General features: G+C 35.9%; 1 protein-coding gene across 29 annotated transcripts in view; it reads right to left on the reverse strand.

Annotated features, from left to right (window-relative positions):
* The window catches only part of CADPS2 (calcium dependent secretion activator 2), a 568050-nt gene that overhangs the window by 150201 nt on the left and 396622 nt on the right, over positions 1–21227 (reverse strand). For 18 of the 29 annotated variants that reach the window (NM_001363397.2, XM_005250707.6, XM_005250701.6 and 15 more), the window contains 3 exons: positions 12241–12249; positions 5770–5906; positions 2764–2951 (listed from right to left, as the gene is read on the reverse strand). In NM_001363397.2, the coding sequence (NP_001350326.1) occupies positions 2764–2951; positions 5770–5906; positions 12241–12249 (334 nt within the window). The remainder of the gene's footprint in view (positions 1–2763; positions 2952–5769; positions 5907–12240; positions 12250–21227) is intronic. The other 11 variants (NM_001363398.2, NM_001009571.4, XM_047421032.1 and 8 more) reach the window with 1 other exon arrangement.

The following is a 21227-nucleotide window of genomic DNA, read 5'->3' on the forward strand; positions in this document are numbered from 1 at the left end:
TAGTACCTTCACATTAGTATTTGCCCCTTTTATGTATGACAACTCTGAGTTTCAGAAAGGTTAAGTGATTTGTTGAACATGGGTCAGTTTGCAAATTTCAGAGCCGGGATTCAAGTGAAGATCTTTTGCCTCTTTCTGGTCTTTCACTGTGGCAGCATAGTATTTCTGAATGACATCTGCTGGACTGTAAACGTCACAGGAAACGTCATAACTTTCAGCTTATCTTGGATTATTTCTATCCTAAATTGAGGCTCAAATTTCCCTCAACCCTATATTTCTTCCTTTCTTTTTCTTAAGCTATATGACACCTCAATGCTGAATCAGAGACTGATTCAAATTTCGATTCTAAAAGACTACCAGAGATACCTGAATGTGTACACAGTTTAAACTTTGGGAAAGTGGATTTCACATGCAATATTAAAGATAATATATGCATGAACATATAAACATACCTTGAATTACACATTACAGAGTATCGTTATAAAGAAAACAATAGTTTTACAGAATAAAAGTAACTATGGCAACCAGTAGAGTCAAATCAGGCTGCCTCCCAGGCAGCAGCAGTAGCTCCTTGTTGCCTCAGTAACTTTCCATTATAATGAGTCTCAAACACATATATTTTGGGGGCACATTAGCTGAATTTTCCACCTTAGGTTCCCAATTTAATTTTACCTTTCTGTGTGGATGAATAAAATATTCTGATTATACAGTTTGCTTTGGGTTTGTTTGTTTCACTGAAACCTTCTCATCCTCTTGCATTTTAGAGGTCTGCCTAGTGCTGGAATGTCTATTTTTTGATATCCCCTAGTCAGAAGGAATTGAGACAGAGTCAGGAGACGAGACAGTTTTAGTAAAACAGCTCCTATCAACAGTTAGCCACCCTGACTGACCCCTGTACCCCCCCATTTTCTAAGTGCAGAGGGTTGAGTGTGAGATAGTGGGGAAAAAACTACTAAAATCAGCAACATCCTCCTAATTTCAAATCAAGGCTGGGCTCCAAAATAAAGTGAAAACCTGAATAGACTGTGAGACAAGGATCAATCTTATTTTATTGTAGGCTGAGAAATGGCAGCACTGGGGACTTCAACAGATATTTATTGTGTACCTACAAAATGTAACACACTGTTTTAGGTACGTGGAGGATAATAGGTGAATGAGAACTGATTTTTGCCTTTAAAATATGATCTAGTGGAACAGAAGCAGGTGTGTGTCTGTGTGTGTGTGTGTGTGCACGTACACACATCTAGCACATAAGTATATATGACAAAGGTAATGAGATAAGTACAGACAAAAAGTTCTTAGTGTCTGAATGAGTTAATTGAAGTCTTCTAAGATGAGTTTTGTGATATTTGACTTTTTAAAACTGGAAAAAAGAAAAACATGGAGAATAAACAGATTTTTTGCGGTAAAATTTTGTGGAGACAAGAATGGGCAGATGGAAGAGGATGGTAATGGGAAAATGTTGATGCTATCACTTGGAACCTATTTTTAATTTAATAATCAAAAATCACTTAAGCTTTTTGAAGAAGAGTGTGGTAAAAGTTATTCTACAATTTTTTTGACTGATTGGTAGAATACTATAGAAAGAAAAAGGTAGTAGAGAGGTAAATTCACATACATAGGCCAGAAAAAAATGAAGGCCAGAATTAGGATAAACAATGGAAATGTAAAAAAGAGAATGTTAAGGGGCACTATGGGAAGAGAATATTAATATTCACAAATTGGGGATAGGAGGGAAAAGAAAAAGATGAATAAAAAGTTAACGGGCCATTAATGGAGGAGACATTAACACAAATAATGAAGTCATTCATTCATTCATCAAATATGTATTGAGCAAGATTAAGAGAAGGGGAGTGATATGGACAGATTTTTATTTATTTTTTATTTTTATTTTTATTTTTTAAGACAGAGCCTGTTCTGTTACCTAGGCTGGAGTGCAGTGGCATGATCTTGGCTCACTGCAACCTCTGCCTCCCGGGTTCAAGCGATTCTTTTACCTCAGCCTCCTGAGTAGCTGGGATTACAGACATGCACCACCACGCCCAGCTAATTTTTATATTTTTTAATAGAGATGAGGTTTCACTCAGTTGGCCAGGCTGGTCTCAAACTCCTGGCCTCAGGTGATCCACCCTCCTTGGCCTCTCAAAGTGCTAAGATTACAGGTGTAAGCCACCACACGCGGCATGATATGGACAGATTTTTAAGGCCAGAGATAGACAACTGTGGAGGCCAACATTAGGGAATTTTTATGGCATCTTGGTAAAACAAGAGTACTTGTTCCTAAAGTGTGGATTAGGGAAGTGGCTAAGAAGAGACTCTACATAAAACCCATTTTCTATCTTGTTTTATCAGTGAAAATTAATTCCACAGAGGAAAAGCAATGATCATTAGTTACACACAGACCTATCAACACATCCTACCCAGGCACAGGTATGCATTACAATAGGAATCATAGGGATACTTAAGGCTATTCAGACTTACTACGAGGTGGTATGTAAGAACTAAAAGGCAGTTTCTAATCTCATATTTTTTCTCTCTCTCTCTTTCGAGTGGCTTTACCAGCAAAAAGAAACATAAAGTGTAGCCCACCTAAATCAATAGCATATTGATGCACACTTTTTTCTCTGTCGTTTTTTTTTTTTTCCTTGTAAGAAGTGTTTGCTATTTACAATCTGTTACTGGGTGATAATCGCAAAGCACATTTTTCTCTCTTTTCCATAGTCAACCCCATACATTTCACTTTGTATTTGCAAGTAAAAATACCTGTTGCCGTGCACATGAGAGGCACAGAATGCAAAGCTGTAATGGAGCAGGGTAGGGTCAATGACAGCACCATTTTCTGAATGTTCCATCAGTTCTGCAAGGTAGCAGAGATGTCTGTGACAGCCTCTCACACCATAACGGGCACAGTACTCATCTAACACAAAGACTTGGCCAGGGCTAAACCATCCCTGCAAAATAAAAAAAGAATAGATATACATGTTTTTTCTTTCTATACTACGATTTGCTTTCCTGAACGCACTTTTAGGCCTTATAAGCAGAAGCTGCATGAAAGTATCTTGACATTTATTTTATTAGTGGTATGTTTCATGAAGAGCTAATGTCATCAATTTTGAAACTGATTTGGGACACTGGCAACCTAATGCTATTCTCTTTTTACTGTCACAGCAAGGCATGGGTAACTTGTGCCTCTCCAATGTCATTCAAAATTAGTCAAATTTATTCATAGGATCTAAATTATCACACACAAAGAGTGTTACTCCAAAAATCTCAGTCTCTTTATGAATCAATTAAAAAAAGACGACATTATAGATGAAATTTCCTGCTCAGGAGAAGTTTTATAAAGTGAACTAAAAGAAAATGTCATTAAGTTTAGCAGCAGTATACATGTACTATTTGGGAACTTAAATATCTGGGATATTCTTCTCATTCTGTTTGTCTTCCTATGAACAATATAACAGAGTTAATGCTTTATATTAGCAGTTTCTGTTCCTCCTGAAATAAGATGTTAGAATGTATGTGTGTGCATGCATGCCACCTGAACACAGCAGGCAGTTGATGCGGCTAAAACTGGAGGACAGGTTAGGTGGAGCTGGCTTATAAAATATCTTGATGAATTATATGGATTTATAAGATAGTAAAAGAAAAGAAGGGAGTATAGAGAGTTTTAAAAGGGGGCAGGGTAATCATGTAAGAGAAATAAAGAATAATGAGAAAAAGGTGAGAAGGCAATAAAGGAAAGGAGGAAGAAAAGAAAAGGAGTAAGAGAAGAACCATCAGGTGTGGTATTTATATGCTTTCCATGTTGAAGATAAATAAGCTAAAGCTCAGGGATGTTAAGTGAATTGTCCAAGACTACACTGCAAATCAGTTGTTGAGCCATGATTTATATTCACAGTCATCTGCCTCCAAAACACTTTCTAGGCAAATCACACTCACTCCCCTTTAGGTGCAGTGGAAGACCTTGTAGCATTCTCCTCAGACTCCATATTACACTGGCGGTCAACAACAAAATCAAAACAGCTTTTGATAATTGAATAATGTCTTTGAGTGGAATCCGAGAGGACACTATCCCTTATTGATGTTCACTCTATGTGTTTGTCCATGAAAAGATAGAATAGGATTTTGAGATGATATATTTTACTCTCCATGTGATTGTAAAGTTTGAGTTGGATCAGGTTTAAATTATACTTAATAAACAATCTATAAATGAATTAATGAACTGTTAGTGTCAGCGTGGCAATAAATTGTTTCACTTCTTCCTCTCTGAAGTATCCCCATTTTGATTTCAGACAAAATGGGGGGGCGCATTTTGTCTGAAATCTTAAACAGAATGTAACTTTATTGCATGAAGTTTCAGGTTGAGCATCCCAAATCCAAAAGTCCCAGACCTGGGAAGCTCCAAAATCCAAAATATTTGAGCATCTGCATGATGCTTTTAAATCAAGTTTAGCCTAAAGCTGCCTCCTTACATATTTTAAGTTCAGCCTAAAGGTTTCTCTATACATTGTGAATTATAAACTAAATGGAGTTGTAAATACACAGTAGTCTACTACTGTGCCAATAACTGAGTTTTGGCCAATCAAAGGTGGCCAACTGTTCAAACTGTGTTCAAATAAGGCAAATGCTGAACTGTAATCAATCTGGCTGTTTCTGTACCTTACTTCTGTTTTCTGTACGTCACTTTCCTTTTTCTGTCTATAAAGCTTTTTCCACCACGTGGCTGCGCCAGAGTCTCCGAGCCTACTCTGGCTTGGGAGGCTGCCTGATTCAAGAATTCATGAATTAAACTCTGTTAAACTTAATTAGGCTAAGGTTTTTCTTTTAACAAAGCTCAAAGGAAATTGATTTTGGATTTTTGGATTAAGGATGCTCACCTTGTACATATAATGCAAATATTCCAAAATCTGAAGAAAATTCAATATTTGAAACAGTTCTGGTCCCAAGCATTTTGGATAAGGGATAGTCAACCTGTACTATGCTCAGTGTCCAAGAGATTAAAGTAGTGATAGAAATAGGCATTTTCTGGCTGCAAAAATTTCAGATGAATTGCTATTGACAATGTAAATGCTTGGAAAAACACATAATTTTTAGGTTATAAAGTTTAGTCCCCATATTCTGAGGTGTCAAGCATTCCTTTTAAATAAATTATACTTCATATCCCAAATGTTGGCTACAATTTCAACACATACCAGGAAACAGTTTACTCAATTTAATTCACTCCTTTCCTTTTGTCAAGGAATTCAAGTTATACTTTGGATGGCTAGATGAAACCAAAACTTTCCTTTGTTATGTATAGCTCCTGTCATATTGTTAATTCCACTATTTCCTTCCCCTGCCACTTAGGTTGTCCTTCTAAGAACAAAAGAGAGAAATGTGAGGTGTCAACATCTGGGGAACAGAACTTCAACCTTAAAATGTCTGTACGTCCTATAACAGAGGTTTTAAAAAATCTTTATTTAAAGCCTTCTATTTTCACTGAGCGTTCTTTAAAGTGACTGATACACCACAGTTTAGCATCTATTTGAGTCTATTCTCCTGTCTATTGAGTGGCACAGCAGTGGTCTTCAAGTGTATAATTTTCAAATTGGGAAGCAATCAACTGGAATCCTTTATCCCTCACTCCCACTACCCTTATTAAATGAGTCAGGAATAAAATGCTGGTTTATAACAAGTATTTCTCACTTTCTAAAATCTTTTATTCCAACTTATAGGGGATCTAAAATCTTTTATTCCAACTTATAGGGGACTAGATAGACTTGTACTCACCAAGCAAGAATAGGAATCATTCAGTCTGTGATCCAAAGTCTGCCTCTGGAGTATTCTAAAAAGGAAGGCATGATCAAGCTTGCAGGGGTTTGCAGAAATAAACTCATCCATACCATGTTTCTGAAAACGATCTGCATCTGTAAATTCAGGAAAGCATGTACAGTATATTTACTTTTCAGGCTTAATGATGGACATACAAGTTGTGAAGAATACAAAATGCGTGACTCAAGCAGAAGACTACCTTTTATCACATGAAATATGATGCCAAGAGTTCAGCATATTAACATAAATTGCAAACTTTATGAAGCCTAAGTAAAAACAACAGCAAAAAATCTACAAATCATTCAGAATGCAGTAATTCCATCTCCATTCAAAGCTATTTCTAATATCCAACAGAAGAATAATCTTATTTTCCAACTCTGAGAAAAGCTGTATTTTAAATCTCCATTTACTGATGGAATTGACTAGAAAAGAACGAAGATCTATTCATAAAAAACAGCAATGATGCCTAGGAGTCTGCTTTCCAAATGGCAAACTAGGGCAGAATTGAACACACATGCTTCAGCTGGATCACTTCCAGTCTTCTTTTTGTATGGAGCTTTTAATGGGACCATCCTTAATGTAAAAATGGCAATGAGCGCTCTCAAGCTTCAAGTTTAAGAGACAGGAAAAAGGGAGCATCATGTTTGCGCAAATATGCAGACAAAGCTTAACGTCCCAAATGGCACTTCAATCAAAGGCCCAAATTTATTGTTCTTTACAGATTGCATCTTTCAACGCCTGTAGACCCTGCGGGTTTATCAAAAGGCAAGCTTTTATGATTGCTTTCATTAATGGTATGTTTTGTCAAAGTCTTCAATGTGAGTTATTTACTAAGTATAGAGAGAAAAAGCCACACACTACCCCAAAGGAGTGCTGGGGTGTTATTACATTAGCTCTGTTAGAAACGTAGCGCATACTGAGCAAGCAATCAGTTATCAAGATAAAAGTGGACTCTTCTCACAATGGTAAAACTGAAACTCCATTGTTCCCTAAAATTCACAGATAGATCTCTTTCTGGTCATCATAAGAAAAGCAGAGTCCTAAATGTAAGCTAAGTGTAGTTTGTAAAACCTATGTAGTACAATCTTAAAATTATAAAGGAAAAGAGACAAAAGTTTATTGATTAAACCCAATTATAGAGTCAGACTCATAATAAAACTCAATATTGATCTGTGGACATGATGCTAACATAATCAGTCACATTTAGATATTTAGCCCAGATCTTATTGATCCATGTCAAGTTCAACTTTCAGCCATATTTGTAGATGGAAGAACTACATAATTCAAGCTGAAGGGTCTTCAGAATCACACTAAAAAATGATACACAAACTAATGTACATCTCACATCAATGACAGATAGGAAAAGGTGAATATAGCAAGTAATCAATGAATGGCAGCTTATTGATGTGTAGGGTATAAGGTTATAATCCGTGGAGAAAGTATCATACTTATACCTTTACATTTAATAATTACCTGAATGATTAAATACATTACATGTGATAAATTAACTGGATGAACACAAAACAGCTTTTCCTGAACTAATATACAATTGAACTTCTTTTGCATTTTATTCTTCTGAGTCTTTTAATAGAAAGTTAAATATATGATAATGTAATGTGAAATAATATCAGATGAATAGGAGGCAGAATATTAAAACTGCAAATCACACATTTTATAAAATTGGAAGATTCTTTTGTATTTTAAAAGATGTATCTTAGAATATTCATTTTTCCATTTATCTCAGCAAAAAAATCTTTTAGTATCATTTTTATGAAACTAAATTACTAGTTTTATAAAACATCTGCTAAATTTTATACCTTATTTCTTTCACCAGAGAAGGTTACAACAGGAGTTAAAAATAATGCCCATTAATGGTTAATCTGTTGAGAACAGGATAGTGATAAATTTCACAGGAAAAAGACCTATCTTTTTCCTGTGAAAAAAGTAAAAAAATCTTTCTTTTACTATAAAGATTTGTAGAAGCAATTAAAAAATGGGCATACAAACTTTAAATAAAAAATGTTTCTGAAAAACGATCTATAGTTCATTTCTATAATTAAATCATATTTTTGTAAATTTATAAAGTACTTTTCTCAGGAAATACAATTCCAAACTATATATCTGCTAAGGTAACAAGTCTTTCCAAATGACACACATGAATGGAAAATTACTTTACAAACAATTACCATTGGTGATAAAAATGATATTAATGATAGCACTTTGAGTCACAAATACAGACTCTACTCGGAAAAAACAGACAGGCAAACAAACCCATTAAAATTTTTATTTAAGAAAATCAACAACCTTCAATTTCTCCAGGATTGTAATTTTATGAAAGTGAAATGTGTTCTTAGAAATCATTCTATTTTTAAAACACAGGCTGTGAAGACCAAACATTTTTACTTTCTTTCTACATCAGATCAGCACCATTTAGAACATTTCATGCAAAACTACATTACCATGTGGCAGTATAGTCTTAGTTTCCATGAATTTATGGAAGAAATAAATAAAAAAGTAACAGTCTTGACCTCCCTGAATGAAATGGGGTGGCGGGAAGGGGGGCGGGAGGGGAGGGGAGAGGAGAGGAGAGGAGAGGAGAGGAGAGGAGAGGAGAGGAGAGGAGAGAGAGAAGAGAGAGAGAGAGAGAGAGAGAGAGAGAGGGAGAGAGAGAGGTAGGTAGATAGGCTGTGTTTCAATAAAACTTCATTTTCAAGAACAGGCATTCAGTTTCAGTTTGCTGGCCCTCTGGCCCTTGTTTTAAACAAAATAATAGCAATGTATACAAGTGTTTATAACATTACTGAAAACTGACGGGCACAATGGCTCATGCCTGTAATCCCAGCACTTTGGGAGGCCGAGGTGGGTGAATCACCTGGGGCCAGGAGTTCGAGACCAGCCTGACCAACATGGTGAAATCCCGTCTCTTACTAAAAAACACAAAAAATTAGCTGGACATGGTGGCAGGCGCCTGTAATCCCAGCTACTTGGGAGGCCGAGGCAGGAGAACTGCTTGAACCCAGGAGGCGAAGGTTGCAGTAAGCTGAGATTGCGCCACTGCACTCCAGCCTGGGCTACAGAGTGAGACTCCATTCCCATCCCACCCGCCACCCCCGACCCCACCAAAAAAAAAAAAACAAAAAACAAAAAACCAAAAACTGTAAAGTGAAATGTAAGGCAACAATAGCATCAAAGCTAGGAGGAGAGAAACAGATGTAATACGGCTGAAATGCTTTTTTAGTAATAAAATTGTGTGTATGTATATTTAAGCTTTACAACATGATGTTAAGGGATACATATAGACAGTAAAATGGTTACAATACAGATGCAAATTAGCAAATCTGTCATCTCACGTAGCTACTTTTTTTGTGACAGGGAAGCTAAAATCTACTTAACAAAAATCACTAACAGTACGATTGTATGGATTCTAGTTGTCATGTTGTACATTAGATCTCTAGACTTGTTCATCCTACACATCTGCTAGTTTGTATCCTTTGACCCACATCTCCCCATTTCCTCCCTGCCATCTTTCACTTTAAAGTTATCTCATGAACTAATGTGAAATAGAAAATCAGATATCATTAAGATATTATCTAGTTTCTTATTTTTATAAAGATATATTTTCACATAGCTTTCTACAGGTATAACATACCTATATGTTACTCTTGAGAGACACAGCCATCATCTATATCAAATGCAAAACATGCTTTTTAGTCAATTACCAAATCCAAGGCTTTAAAATTGGGTTATACTGGATTATCTTCAATTAATGTTACTATAACACAACATTATGGTGACTAGTTTTAAACAGAAAATTATTCATGGTGTTACTCAGATTTCTCTGATAATGGAAAATTTTAGTTCAATCTGTCTTCTGAAACAATATGACAACTATCAAAACAAACCAACAAGCTATGAGCTTAAGCAGTATACTGCAAAACTGTCATAAATTGTGATGATTAACCTATGGACTAACTACAGATGTGGGATTGGTAATTGAGGATACTGGTGGAGTTTCTATGGCAACAGTTGGATGTATGCTCGAGCGTCTTTAGGTGGTACTGTCACCAGGTGTGATAACAGTAGATGGAATGAAACCCAAATTGAGAAAGATTATTATTAGCTATAGATTTAAGAAGTTATAGAGGCTTTATGTAAGTCAAGCCTAAAAATTAAATTTTTTCATTAGGATAATAGCTGTTGGAAGTTAAGAGAAAAGGATAAGTAGGCTGACAGTATCAACTTAAATAGGTAATACAGACTTGAAAATAGGTGGCATAGAAAATGATGTGAGGACTATCAGTGAGGGGCTTTTTGGTAGGCACTGACCGCCACCTGCCCCTTAAGTGCCCAAGAATTCAAATCCTAGGAAAGGCATCTAAGTCAGAGAGAATGTGAGATTGAAAAAAATTTGAAATACTTCTTTTTTGCTATTGTGAATAGTGCCACAATAAACACACGTGTGCATGTGTCTTTATAGCAGCATGTGCACATGTACCCTAGAACTTAAAGTATAATAAAAATATATATATTAAAAATACTTCTTTTTTCTTTGCAACAAATTCTTATGGTACTGCATTTGTTGCTGCTCCTAGTGTTGTGAGAAATCATGGATGTAAAAGGAAAAGGGAAAGAAAAAGGTAAAGGGGCACTCTGGATGAAAAAAGGAGGCCATTTTTTAGCATTCTGAGGTCACTCTGGTGTCTGGGAGTGGGACTCTAGTATCAAAAGGACTAAAAGGGTGCTGCCAGCCAAGACTGCTCTCTGCAAAACAGAGCTGAACTAAGAAGCAAATGACTCTTTTGAAATATAATACAATTTACTGTCCTACATTTAAAACTGGCCTATGTTTAGGAGTTCACCTGTAGCTGCATTTACCACTACTCACATCTGATTATACATTTCTTATAATTCAAAACTCCCATACAGCTTGAAAATTTATAGGAAGTTAAAAGTGGCACAGCAAAGTAGGTGCCACTTCTCTTTTTATACCATCCATGTAGGCTTTAATAGGAAGAGTTTAATATTTTAAAATTTTACCTAGATCAGCCTGAATAGTATGTCCATGTTTTATGTATACATACTTTCTGCTGAAAAGCAAAGGAGTTTGTTCACACCTTTATTATTGACCAAATAACTGCTTAGCTTCTTTTGGTTAAATTGATTCAAAACCTGATATATGAATTAACACATCTTGCTTTCTGCAGCCAATAACACGTAAGTAATACTTTTGCATGATGACAATTTTGATCAACACAGAAACCTAGAATTACAAATAAGCAAAGTAAACCAATATTGAACATTTATTAGAAATAATATGTTCAATGTAAAAGAAAGACAAATGCTTTCCCTATGAAGTGTGAAATTTAATATATTAGATCAATCATGAAAATAAGTTCACAAAATTAAATGTTAGTTTATATTTTAATTTAATAATTTAAAAATACTTAGCTTAAAAATAAACAGATGGCAGCTTTTCTGGTTCATTTTTGATATTAATTTATTATTGGAAGACAAATGCTACTATTCATATTGTATTATGTGACACACACATTGTATTATGTTACATATATAACTGAGAGACAGTGAAAACCAGGGTGTGTGCACTGCATTTTGGTTGGAGAGAACAAAGTACAGTTTAACCAAAGAATGTCCATCAATCTGGCAACTCTAGCACGTTACATTTTAAGTGAAAAAATTGGTTACCAGCCTCTTCCCCACCCCTTCAGCTCACTCTCTTCCCTTAGAATTTTTATATATCCAGAGAGTCAAAGAAAAAAAGAAGTGGAATAGATTTGCTTATTAGAGAAATCTATAAATACATATTAGTAATGTCCCAAAAAGATAAGGTTGTCTTCCAGTAAGTTAGATTTTATAATTTTTTTTTTATTTTTCCTAGTTATTGTTATGCTTAGTTTTTTAAAAAATAAGCTTCTGATTTATACTTCATTCTAAAGCACTGGGTTTGTGAAAAATAAATAAAAATACATACTTCAAAGAAAAGATATAGAAGAAATAAAGTAGCAACTAGTGCCTCCGATAAAACATATCCACTGAATATTTTAGATGTAATTCTACCTATATTTTGCTTCATCAATTGGGTGTTTTTTTATGTAGTGAAAATAATACCGCATGTATAACTTAGCATTTTTTCCACTTAACATATATTGACCATTTGTTTTGCACGTTATTACAACACATTCGTGGCTATTACCCTTGTGCCTGTATGAATGGTAGATATTAGGTTGTTTCTACTTTTTTTGTTGCGATAGACATTTTTTGTTTTGTAATCAATAAAGCTAACTTAAATATTCTGGGTTTGGCTAGAAAGTAGGGGATTGATCCTGTAAACAAGATCATGATATTCCTCAAACATAGTATCATTAAAAATTTTTTAAAACATCTAATTTTAAAAATCATGAAAATACTTACCTTTACCAGCTACAGGTCAGCAAAGAAATGAGAAACAAAGCATATTTAAATGGGTTGGGAACTATATACTTATACAACTAGACATTTAATTTTTTATTTTCTCAATTTCTACTCATGATTTTAAAAGTTGTTTTTCTAAAAGACCATCAGGAAAGAAAACAAAAATTGATTATGTAAGTCAATGGAGGGAGGAAAATACTATGGATGAAACTACTCTCTGGAGGAACTCTGGAGGAATTCATGGCATTTCTCTGATAGTTCAGGGTCACTACCCTCATTCTGATGAGGTAGAACATTTTCTTTCTTCATTCTTTTTTTTTTTTTTTTTTTTTTTGACGGAGTCTTGCTCTGTTGCCCAGGCTGGAGTGCAGTGGTGCGAACGTGGCTCACTGCAAGCTCTGCCTCCCAGGTTCACGTCAGCAGAGGTCTGCCCTGATTTAAAACTTTACTAGCAGCCTGGAATACAAGTCAGTTGTTGTTAACAAATTGAAACAGTTTCCCTTTTTAGTTATAACAAGTAAATTCAGTTCTCATAGCCTGATCAATTCTGCCTTGACAATAAATTGATATCAAATAACAGAAAGGTTTTGTTAGAAACAGATGATAGGGCTGGGCGCTGTGGCTCATGCCTGTAATCCCAGCACTTCGGGAGCTGAGGTGGGCAGATAACCTGAGGTCAGGAGTTCAAGACCAGCCTGGCCAACGTGGAGAAACCCCATCTCTATTAAAAAGACAAAAATTAGGCAGGTGTGGTAGCATACACCTGTAATCCCAGCTACTTGGGAGGCTGAGGCATGGGAATCCCATAGCCTGATCAGTCCTGCCTTGACAATAAATTGATATCGAATAATAGAAAGGTTTTGTTATTATTTGTTACAGGCAGGTGCAGTGGCTCATGCCTGTAATCCCAGCACTTTGGCAGGCCAAGGCTGGCAGATCACCTGAGGTCAGGAGTTTGAGACTAGCCTGGCCAACATGGAGAAACTCTGTCTCTACTAAAAATACAAAAATTAGGTGGGTGTGGTGGCACACACCTGTAATCCCGGCTGCTGAGATTACTTGGGAGGCTACTTGGGAGGCTGAGGCACGAGAATGGCTTGAACCTGGGAGGCAGAGGTTCAGTGAGGCGAGATGGCACCACTGCACTTCCTCTCTCTCCAGAGGCAGACTCTGTCTAAAAAAATTCTGTATTATTCAGCCACAGTCTTAAAGTTCTATGCTAGTGGTTCCTACCTGCTTTTCTTGCCATTATGTGCAAGCAACAATAGCCACGAGCTCAACACATTCCTCGGGCATTCCTTGCACTCAGGATGTTAAGAAAAAATATGGGAACACAAGTGAAGGAGGATGGCGATTAAAAAAAAATAGTTATTAAGTCACTGTAATTCTGTGGTTCTCAACTGGGGGTGATTCCTCACCAACCGCAACCCTACCCTCTGGGACATTTGGCAATGTCCAGAGATATTTTTGGTTGTCTGACCTGGGACCAGGTGGGAGACTATTGATACCTAGTGGGTAGAGGACAGGGGTGCTGTAAAACATTACATAACGCACAGGAAAAGTTCCTTACTCCACTCCCTGCCCCAAAACAAATAATTATCTAGCCCAAAATGTCAATAGTGTTGAAATTGAGAAACCATGCTTTAACTTACAAAAAATTCTGCTTCTGGTCATGATGGCATAATTGAGAATAAACTTAACCTCCTACCTGAATTAAGTATTCTAAAAAAATTTACAAAAAGTTTATTAAACGCTGCACGTTGGGCAACGTGATTCCTGAGGGACGGGAAACAAGGTGAGCCTTACAGTCACTCCAGGTTACTGCCAGGAGAAACTCTATAGCCCATGGCACAAGCAACAGGAACCCAGGAAAAGCCCAGTGGTCTCCCTGAGTTCAAAAGATGGAACTGACAGTTCAGAAGGGTGATAGTAACTAGAGTTTGTAGGAAAGAGTACTGGAGAGAAGAGAGCTGCCCAGCAAGAGACTCTCAAGATCTACAGAAGGCCTCCCCCAAGAATTCAGCTGACTACCCATCAGCTCATGCATGTGTAGAAAGGGAAAGAAGCAATCTAAAGGATTCGAGAGGACAGTGCCCCAAACTCACACAGCCTAGAATAGCACTGCTTTTCAGCAGCAAGAATATAAAAGCTCATAATTCACAGGTTATCAGTTAGAGTATTAAGAAAGATGTTGGTCCAGAAATGGGGAAAATGCATCCTGGACTAAACACTGCTTGGTCTTCCCTAACAAAACTTGAAAGCAAAGCTTGAGAGGATTGAATTGTTTCCAAGTAACTTAACTGTGTCTCAGAACAAGCATTTTTATGAAGAAAACTATACCAAGGCACATCATAATCAAATTGCTCAAAAACAGTGTTAAAGAGAAAAATCTTTAAAGCAGCTAGAGGAAAAAAGGACATTATTTATAGAGGAAAAAACCAAAATAGCAGCACATTTCTCATTGGAAAAACAAATGCAAGCTAGAAGAAAGTGGAGCAACACCTTAAAGTACTAAAAGAAAAATATCTTCAAAATGAGGGTAAAATAAATACTTTTTTTCGTATATAAAGAAGCTAAAAGTATTCATTACCAGCAGATCTGCACTACAAGAAAAGTCAAAGGAGGTCCTCCAAGAAGTGAAAATATCTATATTAGATGATGAAAGGCACTGGAAATGGTAATGTACATGTACATAACATGTACATAATGGACATGTACAAAATGGACATGTACATAACATTTTTCTTTCACTTTTAATTTATTTAAAAGATATTGACTAAGGCAATAATCATAATAGCAATGTATTGTGGGATTTACCACATATATAGAAGTAAAATATATGACAAGAATAGTGCAAAAGCCAAGAGAGGAGAAATAGAAGTTTACTATTGTAAAGTGTGCATACTATACATGAAGATATATAATAAATTTAAAGGGTATACTTTAAATTCTAAAGCAATCACAAAGATAACAAAACAATTGGACTGAAATAAAAAATTCCATTTACTAAAGCAACAAAGATGAAATACCTAGAAATAAATCTGACAAAAGATGTGCTAGATCTGTTCACTGAAAACTACAAACATCCCAAAGAGAAACTAAAGACTACCTAAACAAATGAAGTGATACATGGTATTCACAGATTGGAAGACTCAATATTAAGAAGTCAGTTTTCCAAAATTTTCCAAGGACTGACCTATAGATTGAAGGCATTCCCAGTAAAATCTCCAGCAAGGAATGTCAAGATGTTTTAAAAATTTACATTGTACCCCATATATATAAACAATTATTTGTCAATTAAAAGTGAATAAACTTATTTTAAAAATTCATAGAGAAATGCAAAGGACATAGAATAGCCAAAATACTTTTGAATAAGAGAAATCAATTTGGAGGACTTGGACTACCTAACTGTAAGATTTACCAAGCTACAGTAATCAAGACAGTGTGGTAATAATATTAAGATAGATAAACTGACCAAAGAAAGGATAGCCCAGAAATAAACTCATATGTAGTTAATTGATTTTTCACAAATATGCAAGGGCAATTCAGGGTACGATAATCTCTTCAACTCTTTGTGTTAGAACAACTGGACATCCATATGCCATCCAGAAATACTGATGGATACCTCTCACCATATATAAAAATTAACTGAAAATGGTTGTAAAATGTAAACGCCAAAATTGTAAAATTTCTAGAAGAAAGCAAAGGAGAAAATGTTTGCAATTTGGGTTAGGCAAAGATCCTTTAGTTATAACATCAAAAGCACAACTATGAAAAAAATTGATAAAATGGACTTCATCAAAATTAAGAATTTCTTTTTTTTTTTTTCTGAAAGTCACTATTAAGAGATGTGAAAAGACAAGCCATAGATTAGGAGAAAATATTTGCAAATCACGTATCTGACAAACATCTTGTATCCAGAACACACAGGGAAACTTCATTTTATTGTGCTTTGCAGATGTGTTTTTCATAAATTGAAAGTTCGTGGCAACCCTGTGTCAAGCAAGTCCATGGTGTCACTTTTTTAACAACACGTGCTCATATCATGACGTGCTCATATCATGACTGTTTCATGTTATGGTAATTCTCACAGTATTTCCAACTTTTTCATTATTAGTAGATCTATCACGGTCATCTGTGGAAAGTGATCTTTGATATTATTGTAATTGTTTTGGGGTGCCACAAACTACACCCATATAAGATGGTAAACTTAATAAATGTTATATGTGTTCTGACTGTTCCCCATCTCTCTCCCTTTTCTTGGGCCTCCCTATTTCCTGACACACAACAATATTAAAATTAGGCTAACTAACAACCTGAAATGATCTCTAAGTGTTCAAATGAATGAAAGAATCCCATCTCCCTCACTTTAAATTAAAAGCTACAAATGATCATGCTTAGTGAGCAAGGCATGTCAAAAGCCAAGATAGGCTGAAAGCGAGGCCTTTTGCACCAAGTAGCTAAGTTGTGAATGCAAAGGAAAAGTTGTTGCAGTAAATTAAAGTTGCTACTCCAGTGAACACACAAATAATAAGAAAGCAAAACAGCCTTATTGCTGATATGAAGAAAGTTTGAATGGTCTGGATAGATCAAACCAGCCACAATATTCCCTTAAACCAAAGCCTAATCCAGAGCAAGGCCCTGCCTTTCTTCGATTCTATGACAGCTGAGAGAGGTGAAGAAGCCTCTGCAAACTGTGAAGCCAGCAGAGGTCAGCTCATTAGGGTTAAGGAAAAGAAGCCATCTCTATTACATAAAAGTACAAGGTGAAACAGCAAGGGTTGATGCAGAAATGGCAATAAGTTATCCAAAAGATCCAGCTAAGATCATTGATGAAGTTAGCTATGCTAAATAACAGATTTTTAGTGTAGACAAAATAATCTTCTATTGGAAGAAGATGCCATCCAGGACTTTCGCAGTTAGAGAGAAGTCAATGCTTGGCTTCAAAGCTTCAGAGTACAGGCTCTCTTGTTAGTGGCTAATGCAGCTGGTGACTTTAAGTTGAAGCCAATGTTTATTAACCATTTTGAAAATCCCAGAGCCCTTAAAAACTATGCTACATCAACCCTGTTCTGTGCTCTATAACTGAAAGAACAAGCCCAGATGATGGTGCATCTGTTTACAGCATAGTTTACTGAATATTTTAAGTCCACTGCTGAGGCCTGATGCTAGAACAAAAGAATCTGTTGGAAGCATTATTGCTCACTGACATAGCATCTAGTTGCTCAAGAGCTCTGCTGGAGATGTACAAGGAGATTAATGTTGTTTTCATGCTTGCTAACCCAACATCCATTCTGCAGCCCACAGATCAAGGAGTAATTTCAACTTTCAAGTCTTATTATTTAAGAAATACATTTTATAAGGCTATAGCTGCCATACATAGTAATTCCTATGAGACATCTGGGAAAAGTAAATTGAAAACCTGGAAAGGATTCATCATTCCAAATGCCATTAAGAACATTTGTGATTCTTGGGCGGAGGTAAAAATATCAACATTTACAGGAGTTTGGAGGAAGTTGATTCCAACCCTCAGGGATAACTTTAAGGGATTGAAGACTTGAGTGGAGGAAGTCACTGCAGATGTCATGAAAATAGCAAAAGAACCAGAATTAAAAGTGCAGCCTGAAGATGTGACTGAATTGCTGCAATCTCATGATAAAACTTGAACAGATAAGAAGTTGGTTCCTTTGGGTGAAGCAAAGAAAGTGATTTTTGAGATGGAATCTACTTCTGGTGAAGATGCTGTGAACATTGTTGAAAGGACAACAAATGATTTAGGATATTACATAAACTTAGTTCGTAAAGCAGAGGTAAAGTTTTAGAGGATTGACTCCAATTTTCAAAGAAGTTCTACTTTGGGCAAAATGATAGCAAACAGCATCACATGCTACCAGAAAATCTTTCGTGAAAGAATCAGTCACTGCAGCAAACTTCATCCTTGTCTTATTTTAAGAAATTGCCACATCCACACCAACCTTCAACAACCAGCAACCTGATCGGTCAGCAGCCATCAATGTTGAGGCAAGACCCTCTACCAGCAAAAATACTATAATCACTGAAGTCTCAGGTGATTATTTTTAGCAATAAAGAATTTTAAAATTATGTTTTAGACATGATGCTAGTGCATGCTTAATACACTACAGTGTAGTATAAACATAACTTTTTTTTTTTTTTTTTTTTTTGAGACAGGGTTTCACTCTATCGCCCAGGCTGGAGTGCAGTGGCGCTATTTCACTGCAACCTCCACCCCTCGGGTTCAAGCAGTTCTCCTACTTCAAGCCTCCCAAGTGCTGGGACTACAGCCACGTACCACCATGCTCAGCTAATTTTGCATTTTTTGTAGATACAGGGTTTCATCATGTTGCCCAGTCTGGTCTCGAACTCCTGAACTGAAGAGATCCCCCCCACCTCGACCTCCCAAAGTGCTAGGATTACAGGCTTGAGCCACTGCGCCGGCCAAACATAACTTTTATACACACTGGGAAACCAAAGAATTTGTGTGACTCACTTTATTGAGATATTCATCTTATTGCAGTGGTCTGGAACTGAACCCACAATATCTCCTAGGTATGCCTGTATAAAGACCTCTCAAAACCCAATAAGAAAATAGCCTAATTACAAATTAGGCAAGGTATGTGCAGAGATACATAACCAAAGAATAAATATGGATAGCAAAAAAGCACATGAAAATAGCATTTCTCTATATGAGCAATAGTCAATTAGAAAATATAATAAAAAATATAAGATGCAATAGCAAGGAAAGTATGAAAGGCTTAGAAATTAGCTTAACCAAGAATAAAAAGAGCTCTATGGAAAATTATTAAAATGTAAAGGACTCAGATTTGAATAAATGAAAGGATATTTCATAGTCATGGCTGGGACAACTGAACATTACACAGGTATGGATCTGGAGGCATTCTATGTTTCCATCTCTGGAGGAGTGAATAGAAATAAAATGTGCAGTAGACCAGGTAACATAAGACAGAAGCCCACTTACATGGTATGCAGTAATCAGAAGAATGAGATTAGATGTATTCATAAAAACATGGATAAATTTTAAAAACATAGAGATGAACAAAAACAGTAAGACTGAATATGACAAAGAATACAAAACCATTTATGAGATTGACGCTAAATGCACACATACAAAATGCAAATTTGCAAAATGAAAAACACAGGAAATTCACATTAAATGCTGTAGAACTGTAGCTTATAGGGGAAGGGACAGAGACTGGCCTATGGAGAGGTAAGAAACAAATTTATAAAAACTTGGTTTTCAACAACAAGAATCAAAACTCGGAGGGAAAAAAATAGATCAGCTGGATGGAAGAAAATGGTTTTGGGAAGAGATTTGACTTGAGTTAATGTTGTGCTGGGGGTGAGCAATGAACAGAGCTCCAGAGGAAAAAAGTTCTACCCGGGGTTGAGGGAGTCTTATACTTTGATGCCCAATGCAGGCACAGTCCAGGGATAAATACCCAATTTGGCACTTGAAGTAGGAAAGAAGCAGTGGATAAGAGCTGTGCTGCAAGAGAAACGCCTGAGTGAGCACCCCTGTGCATAGCTGGGGAATACCCAACAAGTTACTATGTACCACTGTGGCAAGAATCTGATGAAAATGATGTAAGGAATTCATAGGTGTCTGGAGTTGATCCAAGGAGGACACAGACTACATGGACTTCATTGCCAGGTGCCCTGGCAGGTCCATGGTGACGAGCAGTGCATACCAGCACATAAGTAATGAAATCAATGACAGAAGTCATGCCTAAGCCCATGTGAACAGAGAATAGTCTTAGGCTAGATGTTACATTCAATGATATCACAGTTTTATGCAATCCCTCTGAAACTTAATTTACTATGGATCACATGGAAGAAGAGTAGGGGGAAGAATCTTGAATTAATTGAATTATAATCTGTGACTCAGTTGTTTTGAATTAGCGAGTTAAAGTTTTTTGGCAACATTAGAAATTAAAATTTAAGATATGTTCAATTGTAGAAAAATAAAGTTACACTTCTGTACACCTTAGCTCTGATGAAACACTCTTATCTGCTGTGCCATACTCTATGTGTATTACCCAGAGGGTGAGAGGAAGGCAGCAGCAGCGAGTTAAATTTTCAAATACAGTGAAAACATCAGAATGTGCTCTTTTTATTTTATTTTACCTTTTAAGATGACAATGCTACTAATTTTAAAGAAGAAATTTTAAATCAATGAAAAAATTTATAATATTCCTAAATAGTTTTCACTACATATAAAAGATATGCCCCAAAATAATTACGATAATCTATGAGTATGGTCTGTGGTTTCTAAAATAAAGAAATAAAAAGCTCATGGTTCACATTTAATTATTTGAACTAAAGTGCCTTTGTTTAGGATGCCCAGAAATGATACTGAAGGGTATCTAAAAAGAGAAGAGAATAGTTACTTGATGCATGAAAAGCAGAAGAAAATAATGCATGTCAAGATGTTATTCCCTTTGAGAAGAATCTCAAGAATAAAAAGCCACAAGTTGAGCTGAAAGTTAAAGACAAATATTTATTACAGGTAAAACAGGATAAGCTTTGTAAAGGAGTACAACAAGTTAAAACACTTGGTTTAGTGATTATCAAAGCTAGGTTTGAAGATGTTTTGACCATTATTCCATAATTATTAAGCATCAGTCATTTAAAATTAAAAATTTAGTTCTTAACAACTTAAGGTAGCATTCAAAAAGTGACATGTCTTTAAGGTACAAGGGGAAAAAAGTTGGCTTTATGACTTATTATTTTTATCAATCTACAACAAAAAAATAGACCTATTATCCTTCTGGGGTATTAAGAACAATTCTAGAAGGTAATGGTTCATCATTTTGGTATTCTGAAATCCTATCAAAGCAAATTTGATTTTGCAATACTTTTTCCATATCTATAGGAGACTTAAGTCAAAAATCACAATAAACTAAATTAAATTTTCCTTTGAGAAGTTTTGGAGAATTTTCTTATGTGCT

The sequence above is a fragment of the Homo sapiens genome, chromosome 7 (genome assembly GCF_000001405.40).
Source record: "Homo sapiens chromosome 7, GRCh38.p14 Primary Assembly".
In the NCBI taxonomy this organism is placed as follows: Eukaryota; Metazoa; Chordata; class Mammalia; order Primates; family Hominidae; genus Homo; species Homo sapiens.